The sequence below is a fragment of the Homo sapiens genome, chromosome 10 (genome assembly GCF_000001405.40).
Source record: "Homo sapiens chromosome 10, GRCh38.p14 Primary Assembly".
NCBI classification, from domain to species: Eukaryota; Metazoa; Chordata; class Mammalia; order Primates; family Hominidae; genus Homo; species Homo sapiens.
The window spans coordinates 102,346,004-102,359,023 of NC_000010.11; the positions used below are offsets into that span (position 1 = coordinate 102,346,004).

Genomic DNA, 13,020 nt, shown 5'->3' on the forward strand with positions numbered 1-13,020 from the left:
CTTAATATTTAAGATTGTTTCCTATTGAAGTCATAAATAATGCTAATATAAGCATCCTTGATCACATGTCCTTATTAATAATTTTTTTAATTTTTATTTTTAGTAGAGACGGGGTTTCACCATTTTGTGCCACCACGCCCGGCTAATTTTTGTATTTTTAGTAGAGACAGGGTTTCACCATATTGGCCAGGCTGGTCTCAAACTCCTGACCTTGTGATCCACCCGCCTCGGCTTCCCAAAGTGCTGGGATTATAGGCATGAGCCACCATGCCCGGCCCCTTATTGCTAATTTTACTCTTGTATGAAAGATTTCTGAACTTGGAATTTCTGGATTAAAGACCACGTGCATATTGCATTTTTATAGCTATTACCAGGTTGCTTCCCCAAAAGGTTACATCATTTATACTTCCACCAGCAGTGATTGAGAATTTCTACTTCCTTACCCTGTCATCAGCACTGAATATTATCAGTTTTATTTGTGCCAACTTGGTAAGTAAAAAATGATATTTTGTTTTTATTTTTTGAGACAGGGTCTTGCTCTGTCACCCAGACTGGAGTGCAGTGGCACAATCACGGCTCACTGCAGCCTTGACCTTCGGGCTCAGGTGATCCTCCCACCTCCGCCTCCCAAGTAGCTGGGACTATAGGCACACGCCACCACACCCAGCTAGTTTTTGTACTTTTAGTAGAAGTGGAGTTTCTCCATGTTGCCCAGGCTGGTCTTGAACTCCTGAGCTCAAGAAATCCACCACCTTGGCCTCCCAAAGTGCTAGGATTACGGATGTGAGCCATTGCACTCAGCCTTTTGTTGCTTTTATTTCCTGGAGGCTGAACATTTGAATTTCCTGTCCTTCACTTCTTTTTTTAATTGAGTTGGGTTTGTTTTTCATGTCAATTTGTAGGAGTTCTTTGTATGGTAGGAATATTAACCCATTGCCTTTCATAGCATTACAATTATTTGCTCCTAATCTAGGCCAAATATTTCCCTTAATCTGTAGTTTATCTCTAAATTTCTTCATGGTGTCTTTCTTTGGATTTCTTTTTTAGTTGGTCTTGACACTCAATTTGGGAATTCATTTTCCCTGATTGGCAGCCCATGTACAAGGATGAAGAATATAGAAAACAGGCAGCTGTCTTTGTTTCTTAAGCAGGGAGACAAGAAAAGATAAGGCTCAGGCTTTAGCTAGCCAGAAAAGAAAATAGTCTTCAGTTCAGAGCAAGAAAACCCTTTATTCTAGAAATGTTGGATTTGCTTAGCTGATGCATTCAGGATCCTGAGCAGGAATCCTGGGTACCAACTAGCTTCTGAACAGGTGCATCAGCCTCTCCGACACCCTAGTCCCAGCTTCATACTTTTCCTAAACAAAATCAGGCCCAGCCACTTCCAGCCTTGCCCTGAGCACCACCTGCAGGTCATCTTTCTTCACAGCCTCCAGTGGCTGCCGCTGCTGTGCCTTTTCCCTCTGCTGTCTTGTTGGTGTTACTCTTTCCTCTTCCTGGACTTGGCAGACAGGCTGGTCATTGGAGACCTCAGGCCACCTGGTCATTGGAGTTTCCTGTGGTGGGAAAGGAGAATGCTGGAGGTGGTTATTGCAGTGGGCATGAGAAAAGGAGCAGGAAGGAGTGTATGAAAGCCAAGAAAGCAAAGGAGATGGGATTGGCAGATTTCCCTGAAGTTGGTTCCAGAGTAGCCAGAAGAGGAGGACATTTTAAAGAAGGGTTTAGGCTGCTCTTCTAGAAGAAAACTCCTGTCTCTTGCTCCTATGATCCAAGGTTTCAGGGATTATTTTAGATCCTCCAAGGACTAGCCTTTTGTTTGGCCCCATACAGCTGCCAGACCAGAATTTTTGTGCCATGGATTTCATGGGTTGCTAGCAAGCCTTGCCTATGGTTCTTGTCAAAGACCTGTCACTCTAGTCTGCCTTTTTATTTTTATTTTTTATTGGTTTTTATTGAGACAGTTCGCTCTGTTGCCCAGGTTGGAGTGCACTGGTGTGATCTTGGCTCACTGCAACCTCCATTTCCTGAGTTCAAGCAATTCTCATGCCTCAGCCTCCCAAGTAGCTGGGACCACAGGCATGCACCACCACGCCCGGCTAATTTTTGTATTTTTAGTAGAGATGGGGTCTCGCTGTATTGGCCAGGCTGGTCTCGAACTCCTGAGCTCCGGCAATCTGCCCACCTCAGCCTCCCAAAATGCTGGGATTACAGGCATGAGCCACCGTGCCCAGCCCATAACTGCCTGTTTAGAAAATTAACTTTGCTACTTCATTCAACCTCAGGGGACAAGAACTACAAAGAGATCAGTAGAGCTTAAACCCCATTAATGGAGTCTCTCTGAATCTATTCTGGTTGGGGGATGGAAGGAGTGTCTGATTCAAAGTAATAATTTAAAAGACACCTTAACAAGAGAGATTACTGAAAGAGAGGAAGAAATGGATCCCCAGGAGCCTTGTGAGATGGGAACAAGGCTACTATTCACTTATCTCTGAAATGCTACACAACACTGAGAAGGACCTGGGTTTCCTATGTGGGCCCTGGTGGCCTGGGTAGGGACTGTCAGGCAGGGCTATGAGATAGAGGCCCTGAGAGTATGGGATTTTTTTGTGCTGATCGGGAGAAACGTGGAGAGGTGGTGTGATAGGAGGAGCTGGGTCACCCCATTTTATTATATGTCATGAAACTGGCTTCCTTCTGCATGACCTCTAAAGTAACTACTCCCAGTGCTGAGTAGAAGGACACTGTAAATAGGACAAAGAAAGTCTTGATGTGGTGTCGGAGGCTAATGAGGACAGAAGAAAAAGAGGAAACATTCACAATTAGTAAAAGACTTCTGGCTTATCATTGCAAGAGAAATGTTTGGGGGCCAGGCACAGTGGCTCACACCTGTAATCCCAGCACTTTGGGGGTCCAGGCAGGCAGATCACTTGAGCCCAGGAGTTCAAGACCAGCCTGGACAATATGGGGAAACCCCATGTCTATAAAAAATACAAAAATTCTCCTGGCATGTTAGCACACATCTGTAGTCCTAGCTACTAAGGAGGCTTAGGTAGGAGGATCACTTGAGCCCCAGAGGTCGAGGCAGCAGTGAGCCATGATTGCACCACTGCACCCCAGCCTGGGCGATAGAGCAAGACCCTGTCTATTTAAAAACAAAAAAAGAAAAAAAAAAGTTTAGGTTCTCAGCCATCCCCTGAGCTTTAGGCTCAGGAACTCTCTGATTTCAGGTACCAAGAAAGAGAAAATGGGCTGGGCACAGTGGCCCAAGCCTGTAATCCCAGTACTTTGGGAGGCCAAGGTGGGTGAATCACCTGAGGTCAGGAGTTTGTGACCAGCCTGGCCAACATGGTGAAACCCCATCTCTACTAAAAATACAAAAATTGCTGGGTGTGGTGGCAGGCACCTGTAATCCCAGCTACTCAGGAGGCTGAGGCAGGAGAATTGCTTGAACCCAGGAGGCAGAGGTTGCAGTGATCCGAGATCATGCCACTGGACTCCATCTGGCCTGGATGACAGAGTGAGACTCTGTCTCAATTCAAAAGAAAGAGAGAGAAAAAATAACAACAATCTTATAATTCCTGTGACTAAAATTAGGGGGTGTTCCTGCATTACACCATGCCACCTCTGGAGCAACTTTCTCTGTCACTCACAAAGCTTTTTCATATGCCTGCCCTTTCCCCCTACTTAGGCTCCCCCTTTAGAACTAAACAGCTCTGGAAAGGATCCTTCAGAGCAGACCTAGGGCAGGAGCTAGGCAAGACCCTTGATGGTGACAACTTATTTGGCTATTTCTCGTGGCTATTTAATACATGAATGGGAGCTGAGTTCCCTGCTTAATAGCATTTGTGTTCATTTCCAGCGTGGTGCCGGTTGTCTGACCTCTAGCTTCTCCCCTCTTATTCTGTACAGCTGAAATTCTCCCTCCTGCCTACCCCCCAGCTAGTCAGCCTCCAGTCCTGTTTAGTTTATCTTTTTTCTCTCCTAATGCCTGTTAAGCTGGAAACAGGATTCTTGCTCGTCGTCATATTATTTTAAATAAGAATGAAACTAAAGAAGAGGTCTTTGGGCCAGGCATGGTAGCTCACACCTGTAATCCCAGCACTTTGGGAGGCCGAGGCTGGCAGATACCTGAGGTCGGGAGTTCGAGACCAGCCTGACCAACATGGAGAAACCCTGTCTCTACTAAAAATACAAAATTAGCCAGGCGTGGCGGCGCATGCCTGTAATCCCAGCTACTCGGGAAGCCTCAGGCAGGAGAATCGCTTGAACCTAGGAGACGGAGGTTGCAGTGAGCCAGGATCTCACCATAGCACTCCAGCCTGCCAACAAGAGCGAAACTCCATCTCCAAAAAAAAAAAAAAAGTCTTCAATCTGCTGTAATGTGGCACTCAGATATGAGTATTGGCGGCAGTGAGTGTTCATTTCCTCCTCCTGCTCCCCTAATTCAGTTGCGCCTGAACACAAAACTCCAAAAGCAACCAGAGAGAGAAGCTGTGTTGAAAGATGAAAGGAGAAAAGGCCACAAGCTTTGGCCCTACCTGGTTCTTGTTCTGAGTCAAAAACTCTTGTTTCCAGGCCCCTCGTCTATGAAATTAGTAGATTTATACTAGTGATTCCCAGAGTATGGTCCCCTGCTCGGTGGTGTTTAACTTCAACTGGGGTCTTGTTAGAAACACAAATTCTCAGGCCCCACTCTGGGCATACAAAATCAAAACTTTGTGGTATGGGTCCAGCAATTGAGAACCACAGTTTTACCCAGTGGATTTTGTGTTGAGGAGCTCATTAAAACCAGTTATGGGGCCGGGTGCAGTGGCTCACATCTGTAATCCCAGCACTTTGGGAGGCCGAGGCAGGTGGATCACCTGAGGTCAGGAGTTCAAGACCAGCCTAGCCAACATGGCAAAACCCCATCTCTACTAAAAGTACAAAAAAAATTAGCTGGGCATGGTGGTGGGCGCCTGTAATGCCAGCTACTCGGGAGGCTAAGGCAGGAAAATCGCTTGAACCCAAGAGGCGGAGGTTGCAGTAAGCTGAGATCACGTCATTGCACTCCAGCCTGGGCCACAAAGTGAGACTCTGTCTCAAAAAAAAAAAAAAAAAATCAGTTGTGGGCAAAAATTCTCAGGTAGCTCAAGGAGCCACGGGTTAGGGAACTGAAGAGGAAAAACTGTCTCTCAAAGCTAGACAGGCTGCCTTACCTTTTATCTCTCTCCTCTCCACATCACTTAATCTTTCCTTTTTCGCTGGAGCAGATCCCACCCATGAGGGCACAGCAGAGGGCATGGAGAACATGGCAGATGCTGTCACCCATGCTCGTTTTGTGGGCACGGATCCTGCCAGTGATGAAGTTGTCCTGATGAAAATCCTTCAGGTAAGCGAGAGGGAAATAGCAATTAGGCTAATGGCCAGGGGCTGGTGCCGCAGACTCTACTTACTCTGCCCACAGCATGAAACTGTGTTTTGACTCCACTGGGGCTTAGGGGAGCTACTTTGTTTCCAGACAAGCAGCTGGGGTACCCAAAGTAAAAGCTTTTTCTAAGGAAAATCAGTAAAAGCTTTATATGAAGTGATGTCAAATACCAGAAGCCTTAAATACACTTGTACCTCTGGCCGACTGTATTTGTGCCGTCCATCTCTTGGGCTCATGGGCTAGGGCTAGAATCAGTTCTGAAATATGTCAGGGTCATAAAAAGTGAAGAAACAATTCCAAGGACAAGCTTCTTGGAGACCTCTCTACCAAGCTGAGGTGAGGTCAGCATTCTTGCTAACCCCTCTCTCTTACCCTTGAGTACCTCTCAGTACCTTGTTTATCACAGTAATTCCTTTTTCTTCCTGATAGGTTCTACGGACTCTGCTGCTAACCCCAGTGGGTGCCCACCTAACCAATGAATCTGTGTGTGAGATTATGCAGTCTTGCTTCCGGATCTGCTTTGAAATGAGGCTCAGTGGTAGGTGCTTGGATATTAGCCCCTTCACCATTCCTGGGGCCAGTGTCTGAGTATGAATACAGGAGGCTGTCTTCCCAGAGAGATGGAAAATTCAGGACTTCTCCATCATCTATCTCATGCGATCATAGGGGTCTAGAAGAAATGTCTGTACTTGGCTATTGTGAAGCTAGAATAGAGACCTCAGCCCATTATGCCAGGGCAGGAGTTGGGATGGATCCCAGATTGACTTAGCCCAGGCACCAAATCACCCTCTCTTGGGGTTTCTGGGATTGACACCAACCTGCAACCCCCTAGAACACATCTATACCTCCCCTTTTTTCCCTGACTCAGTAGTGCCACCTAGTGGGCCAGTGAAGTTCTGGCTGCCAGGCTGAGCTGGAGCTGGTTTTAATAAGTTTGGCATAATCCTTGGTAAACAAGGTTTGGAGGGGAGTCTGCTCTGAGAACCCTCTTGATAATAGCACAGCAAGTAATGACACCTGTGTTATTTGTTTTTGCCTGTGCAGAGTTATTGAGAAAATCCGCAGAGCACACTCTCGTAGACATGGTGCAGCTGCTCTTCACAAGGTAAACCTGCTGCTGTTTGCTTCAGCCCGGCTGCCCAGGCCTCTTGAGTCTGCCTGCTTCCACACAGCCACGTCAGGGACCTGGCCAACCCCACAGCCGCATCAGAGGCCACTGGGATTATGGATGGGGGGTAGTTCTCTGGGCCCAGGGTTACTGAGCAAGGGAGAAGGAGGAGGGAGCTGATTTGGCCTCACGGGGAGGCAGAGGGTTATTTAATATAGGCCAGCAGACCTCATTCTGCTTCCCAAATTTGTGTCTGTTTCTGTGCAGGTAGCAGCTGGGAAAGGGAACCCAGAGAGGAAGCCAAACTCAAGGGATCATGATTTCTGTGGGAGAGGGCCAAAATTAGGGTGACTAGCAATTGTGAATTGCCTGGGACTGTCCTGATTTCAGCACTAAAAGTTCTGCATCCTGGCAAACCCCCCTCAGTCCCAGGCAAACCAAGATGGTTGGTTACCCTTTGGTAAGGCCCTTAGCCTAGGGCCTAGGAGGCCTTTTCATACTAGGCCTGTTTCCTGCACCTCCTTTCAACAGACTCACAGAAGAGCTGAGGCAATGGCTTTAAACCTTCCTCTGGGATTTCTTTTTGCTCTCAAATCTATAGATAATAATCCTTATTATCTACAGACTAGACTGCCCTTGGATCCTGCTGCAAAGAATTTTTTGCTCCTCAGGCTCAAATTTACTGGTTTCAAAACTTCAACCTGCCTGTTAATTCTTCTCTTTTGCCCACTCTCCTAGGGTTTTGATAGACTGCCCTCCCCCCATCTCTTGGCAGCAGTATTTGCCAAGTAAATATAAGCAGGAAGGAATCAGTCTCAGGATAAAAAGAGCCTCCACACTCCAAGGGCACTTACCTTGCTCTCACAACTACCTCCTTTTGTCCATGTCACACATCCCCCGATTCCTGTGGCTCTTTGATGAAGCTCTGAAAAGGATGAAATTAGTCTGCTTCTCTTTTGTAGCCTTTTCTAAGACACAGGGCATGCTCTGGCTCAGAGCACCTTTGGTTTGTGGCTGGCATGGAGGGAGACATTTGTCATTATCCCTAATGACAGTTGATGGATTTTCTATCTTATAGGTTACCTCAGTTTAAAGAAGAACCCAAGAACTATGTGGGGACCAACATGAAGAAGGTATGATCTGAGAGCTGATCTGCTGTCCCTCATCCAAACCTTAATCTCCCAACTTCAGTGCCTTGGGGTAACCTTGCTTAGCAAAGATATGCTTTTGCCTAAACAGGTCTGCTTGGAATCTAGAAGTAGCTCTCACTCCTTTCGTGAGAAATGTATTCTCTTCCAGATATATCCCTTCCTCAGCTTTTCTGCTCTGGCCTATCTTTGAACCACCATGTAAGCTGGTGAGCCAGTTCTTCATGGAAACTGCATGGTACCCATCAGTCTTGGCTAAAAATGTCTGTTGACAAAGATGAAAGTCCTGCCATCCCCTCAAGACTTAGCCTTATCCGCAGGTAGAAGGCCTAGAGAGGCTATGTCCCAAATCCTACCTCAATGCTGAATTAGACTGGGCTCTTGCTTGTGCTAGTCTGTATTGAAGAGATTAGTCAAGTTAAGAACCAAAGGGTTCTTAAACTGCTAGGAGAAGAATAGTGGTCAAAAGAATGGCTTCTTTCTATCTTGAACTGAAGCCCTGGACTTCACGGGCCTCTGATGAGGATTCCGCTTGCAGCCCTAAGAGGGTCTACCTATGGAGATGACCCTTAGCTGTGTGATGCATGCACCTGACCTTCTCCTCTCCCCTGTCATCCATCCCCATTCCTGCCCTGTTCCCTGTTGGTATGTGTCTGAGTTTATTTCACTGTTAAATCGTGCGTTTGCCTGTCTTTCGCAGATATCTCCATGTCTCCTCAACAAACTGGAGCTAAGTAGTGGGGAGCAGACCAAAGCCCTGAACCAGTTAGAGAGGGTACTACTCTTTAAGAACCTCAAGGTCTCTCTCCCTCTCTTTCCCTTCCCCTTTTTATTTCTTTCAATGTTTATTTTTTATATATAACACCTGGGTCCCATTTCCATTGTGTAGAGCACAACTTACTCCTCCCTAGTAACACAGCACGGCTTTGGAAGAGTTGCACGTGATTGTAGCTTTGCAGTGTTGGGAATTCTCCTGGGGCATCTGGTTGCCTGGATACAGGAGAAGGAAGACTTGAACATCACATAGTTAGCCTAGAAAGCCTGGGGTCTGCTGTTACCTTGTGGGGAGGCTTAAGATCTACCATTTCTAGGGAAACCGTGAGGGACCTTCAAGCAAGACCCTTCCCCCTTCTACCTTATCCTTGTCTCAGAGCTGGCATAGAGAGCTTAAGCACAGTCCTCAGCTCTATCTGGATTACCTGGACTGGGTTTGGAGGGAAAGGGTAGTCCATCTAGTTGGGATCTTTTTTTTTTTTTTTTTTCTTGGTTACCATTAAAGAGGTCATTCCAAGGATTAGAACTCTAGATTGATGGAAAGAAGCCAGGTGCCAGGATAGCCCAGGACACTGGGAATACTTTGGGATCTGTGAAGATGCCCTCTGTCCTCTAAAAGTCAAGGTATAGGGGAGCTTAGGGGAGGGATCCAAGCTAAAGATTACCCTAATCTGCATATACCTGCCTTAGGAAGAAAGGGGAGAGAAGGAGGTGTGGGCTGTCTGGGCTGTCCATCACAAGAGTGTGCATGCTGAAGGTGTGGTTGTGGACATACAGGTCACTGAAAGTAAAAAACTCTGTGTATGTACACCTAGCTAGATAGTCCATTGGCCCGTGTTCTCTTTGAATGCATTGTGTCATTTCATTTGTGTGCTTGCACAGTCTCAAGCTGCAGCTCTCATTAGTGGCTATCCAGCATGTTGCCATGATTATTAACCTGGGACCTGCTCCTTTTTTGTAAAGCTTACACTGTCCTTTGGAGTACAGAGTCATACAGATAAGGTGGCGTAGAATTCCATGAATACCTACTGCCCACCCCACACCTTCAGACCTTAGGAGAGGGAGAATAGCTATACCTTTTAAGGGCTGAGGCATTCGTGAGAACTGGCAGCCTCTTGGCCCCTACTCCAGCCAGCAGGCTGAGAACACTAATTGAAATGATCAGGTTGGAGCAAGCTTTGCAGAAGATAGAGAAGGAAACGTGAAAAACTGATCCTCGTATGGGAAGGAATCTCAATGACTGACTGGCTTCTCAGTGGAAGTAGGACTGCCTGGAGTCCCTGAAATGGGGGAGCCTCCTGGAGAGAAAGGCTACCTCATAAAAGTAGATCCAGTTCTTAGTACTTTTGGGAGCTCAATGATAACTGCCAGTAGAGCCAGGAGGTCTCTCATTGATCTCTTGGCCTCTTGCCCTTTTGCATGTTTGGCGGACTCTTCTCCCATAACATTTTTTACTATGAACTTGATCCAGTTGAGCTCCAGTGGTTCCTGGGGAGAGAATCCTTTTGCTTCCTCCTTAGCTATAGCGGTCAGTACGCCTGAAGCTCAGTTCTAAGCATATGACTGCAGGCATTTTGGAGATGGATCATCTAGAAGTATAAATCCAGTATGAGGCTGTTGCTATGTTACTAAGAGCTGGGGGAAGGAAGGGCTCAGCTGTTCAGCCTCATCTTTATTGGAAGGAGCTATGGGTAGGAATGGAAGAATTGTGTGGTTTCTAAGCAAGGAATCAAAGATTACCCAGGTTCTGAGAGCTTGGGGGAGCTTGAGGAAGGGAGTCAATCCCTCACTATCAAAAGGAATTGAACAGGCCATGGACAATAGGATATATTCAGCCTTTAGGAAGAGGCAGAGAGAAAAAGTGCTTCTGCTCTCTTTAGAGTCATTCTAATGGTTTCTGGAAGAGTGTTGCCATTGCCCAATCCAGGAATGGTCCAATCCAAGAATGGTCTATCAGTCTAGGAATAGTTTAGAATGACTTTGTAGAGGGACTGAGTTCAAACCCAACTGAGAAAACATCAGGGCTTAAAAAACAAATTGGGCCGGGCACAGTGGCTCACACCTGTAATCCCAGTACTTTGGGAGGCCAAGGCGGGCGGATCACGAGGTCAGGAGATCGAGACCATCCTGGCTAGCACGGTGAAACCCCGTCTCTACTAAAAATACAAAAAGAATTAGCCAGGCTTGGTGGCGGGCGCCTGTAGTCCCAGCTACTCAGGAGACTGAGGCAGGAGAATGGCGTGAACCCAGGAGGCGGAGCTTGCAGTGAGCCAAGATCACGCCACTGCACTCCAGCCTGGGTGGCACAGTGAGACTCTGTCTCAAAAAAAAAAAAAAAAAAAATGGGGCCTAAACAAAGTAACTTTGAACTTAGAATGGAGGAAATACATAAAAACACAGATCCTAGGGAATAGTTAACAAACAGGTGATAGAGATTGTCCCTTGCCACTAAAAGTAAGCTATAGGAAGAACAGAAATACAGCAAGAGGGGAGTGCAACAGAGCAAGGAGTCAAGGAATCAGTGGCCTTACCATCTGACAACATAAAACTGCATCTGGAAAGACCAATAGTGAGAGGGCCAGAGGGACAGGTAGTCTCATTGATATAACAAATTGGGAGCAGCAGAGAGCACAGCAGCAGCGTGACATGACCTTCTATCCTGAACTCCACAAAGAAACTGGGAGGCCACTCCTTCCTTAACTCCAAGGAATGAGCTTTTGACCAATCTGATACAGAAATTCCAGAGAGTAAGAGATATGTTAGCTGGGTGCAGTGGCTCACACCTGTAATCCCAGCACTTTGGGAGGCTGGGGCAGGCAGATCACCTAAGGTCAGGAGTTAGAGACTAGCCTGGCCAACATAGTGAAACCCTGTCTCTACTAAAAATACAAAAATTATCCAGGCGTGGTGGTCCACACCTGTAATCCCATTTACTCAGGAGGCTGAGGCAGGAGAATCACTTGAACCCAGGAGGCAGAGGTTGCAGTGAGCTGAGATCGTGCCACTGCACTCCAGCCTGGGTGGCAAAGCTAGACTCCATCTCAAAAAAAAAAAAAAAAATATGTTTATGGCTTAGGCCCAGCTCACATACCAGTAAGAAAACCAGGACAGGAAGGAATAGGCTCTTATAGTTGGATAAAACTACAAGTAGGAGGCTGCTCTACAAGCTAGTTGAGGAGGAAAGCCGAGAGACCATGCACCTGTAGAACTGAGTGTCAGGGCAAAGGAAACCCTGCCCTTACACTTTCTGCAAGAGGGTCATGCATCATCCATAGGGCTCGGGATTTCCTGCTTAATGTAACACTCAGGACCCAGAGAAGCAGAGTGATAAGTGTGAGGACTGGCCCTACCAATGACCAGCCCAGAAACAGAATGTCACCTTCTACATGGAGGCTGCCATGCCAACCTGTGAAGTGGTAAATGTAGAAGCCAAGTTAGAAGAGTAGGAATGTGAACTGATGGTCTAGAGTCTTACTTTAGCAAAGATATGGGGTATAGCTTGTTTTCTAGAGATCAGTAGGACTAAATGAAGGGAGATTAATAGGGATAGAGTCTTAGTTTGAATACCATTGCTAATGGGGTATGATATTTCCAGCTGAAAATGAGAGCCGGAGGCATGAGTGATTCATCCAAATGGAAGAAACAGAAGAGATCCCCTCGGCCCCCACGCCATATGACCAAAGTCACACCAGGTTCAGAGCTGCCCACTCCCAATGGAACCACCTTATCATCTAACCTCACTGGTGAGTGCCCTGGACTACTTCCTCTGATTAGACAAAAGAAGAGCTCCTTTCTCTCTTAGGGATTTTGAAATTGAAGACCAACCAACTGAGGGGCTTTGGTCTTGGCGCTGAGAACAAAAAGGGAAACTCCAGGTCAAATCAGAGTGTGACCATTCAGCAACTATGCAGTGACTTAAGGTTGTTCTCTGACAACTTTAGAGACCAATATATGCAAAGATAAGCATGTAATCTGGGAAACAGAGACCCTAGTACCATAGAGGGTTTGTTTTGCCCACAGCCTCTTTCTTCTCCTTCAAGCGTCACATACTTTTCTTGGCAGGTGGCATGCCCTTCATTGATGTGCCCACTCCCATCTCCTCTGCAAGTTCAGAAGCTGCCTCAGCAGTGGTCAGTCCCTCTACAGACAGTGGCCTGGAATTCTCCTCCCAAACCACTTCCAAGGAAGACCTTACTGATCTAGAGCAACCTGGCTCTCCAGGGTACAGCACAGCTACAGAGCCTGGAAGCAGTGAGCTAGGTGTTCCCGAGCAGCCTGACCTCCAGGTATGGCTTTGATTTTTAATGTCCCTCTTCAGTATTCCACTGTGGGAAATGGCTTGATCCTTTGGATCCTTTATGCAGGACTTGGCTCGAAAGAAGCTTGGGGTAACTTCAAAAGAAGCTCTGATCTTTCCTGCTTCTCAGAATTGGTTGTACTGCCTTGAAAACCCACAGCATGACTCACTGTGAGAGATAGCTCATGAGATTTATCAAGTTATGCATATAGGTAGTACTTGACAAAAGGGAAGGAGCTGGCCATTGCTTTTTCTGGAAGGTAATGATCCAAATCCTAAGCCT

General features: G+C 46.7%; 1 protein-coding gene and 1 long non-coding RNA gene across 39 annotated transcripts in view; one reads left to right on the forward strand and one right to left on the reverse strand.

Annotated features, from left to right (window-relative positions):
* The window catches only part of GBF1 (golgi brefeldin A resistant guanine nucleotide exchange factor 1), a 152,254-nt gene that overhangs the window by 115,361 nt on the left and 23,873 nt on the right, over nt 1-13,020 (forward strand). For 24 of the 38 annotated variants that reach the window (NR_165086.1, NR_165089.1, NR_165088.1 and 21 more), the window contains 6 exons: nt 5,253-5,371; nt 5,840-5,948; nt 6,455-6,515; nt 7,597-7,651; nt 12,036-12,183; nt 12,503-12,726. Coding sequence is in view for 32 of the 38 variants with exons in the window: in NM_001391924.1 (NP_001378853.1) it covers nt 5,253-5,371; nt 5,840-5,948; nt 6,455-6,515; nt 7,597-7,651; nt 12,036-12,183; nt 12,503-12,726 (716 nt within the window). In the remaining 6 variants the exon portion in view is untranslated. Of the gene's footprint in view, nt 1-5,252; nt 5,372-5,839; nt 5,949-6,454; nt 6,516-7,596; nt 7,652-8,366; nt 8,466-12,035; nt 12,184-12,502; nt 12,727-13,020 lie in introns of all 38 variants that reach the window. The other 14 variants (XR_001747253.3, XM_006718047.3, XM_006718049.3 and 11 more) reach the window with 3 other exon arrangements.
* LOC107984263 (uncharacterized) lies at nt 1,211-5,313 on the reverse strand. Its single transcript, XR_001747574.3, has 2 exons — nt 5,199-5,313; nt 1,211-1,556 (listed from the first exon to the last, which is right to left on the reverse strand). It is a non-coding gene; the product is annotated as an uncharacterized LOC107984263 (long non-coding RNA).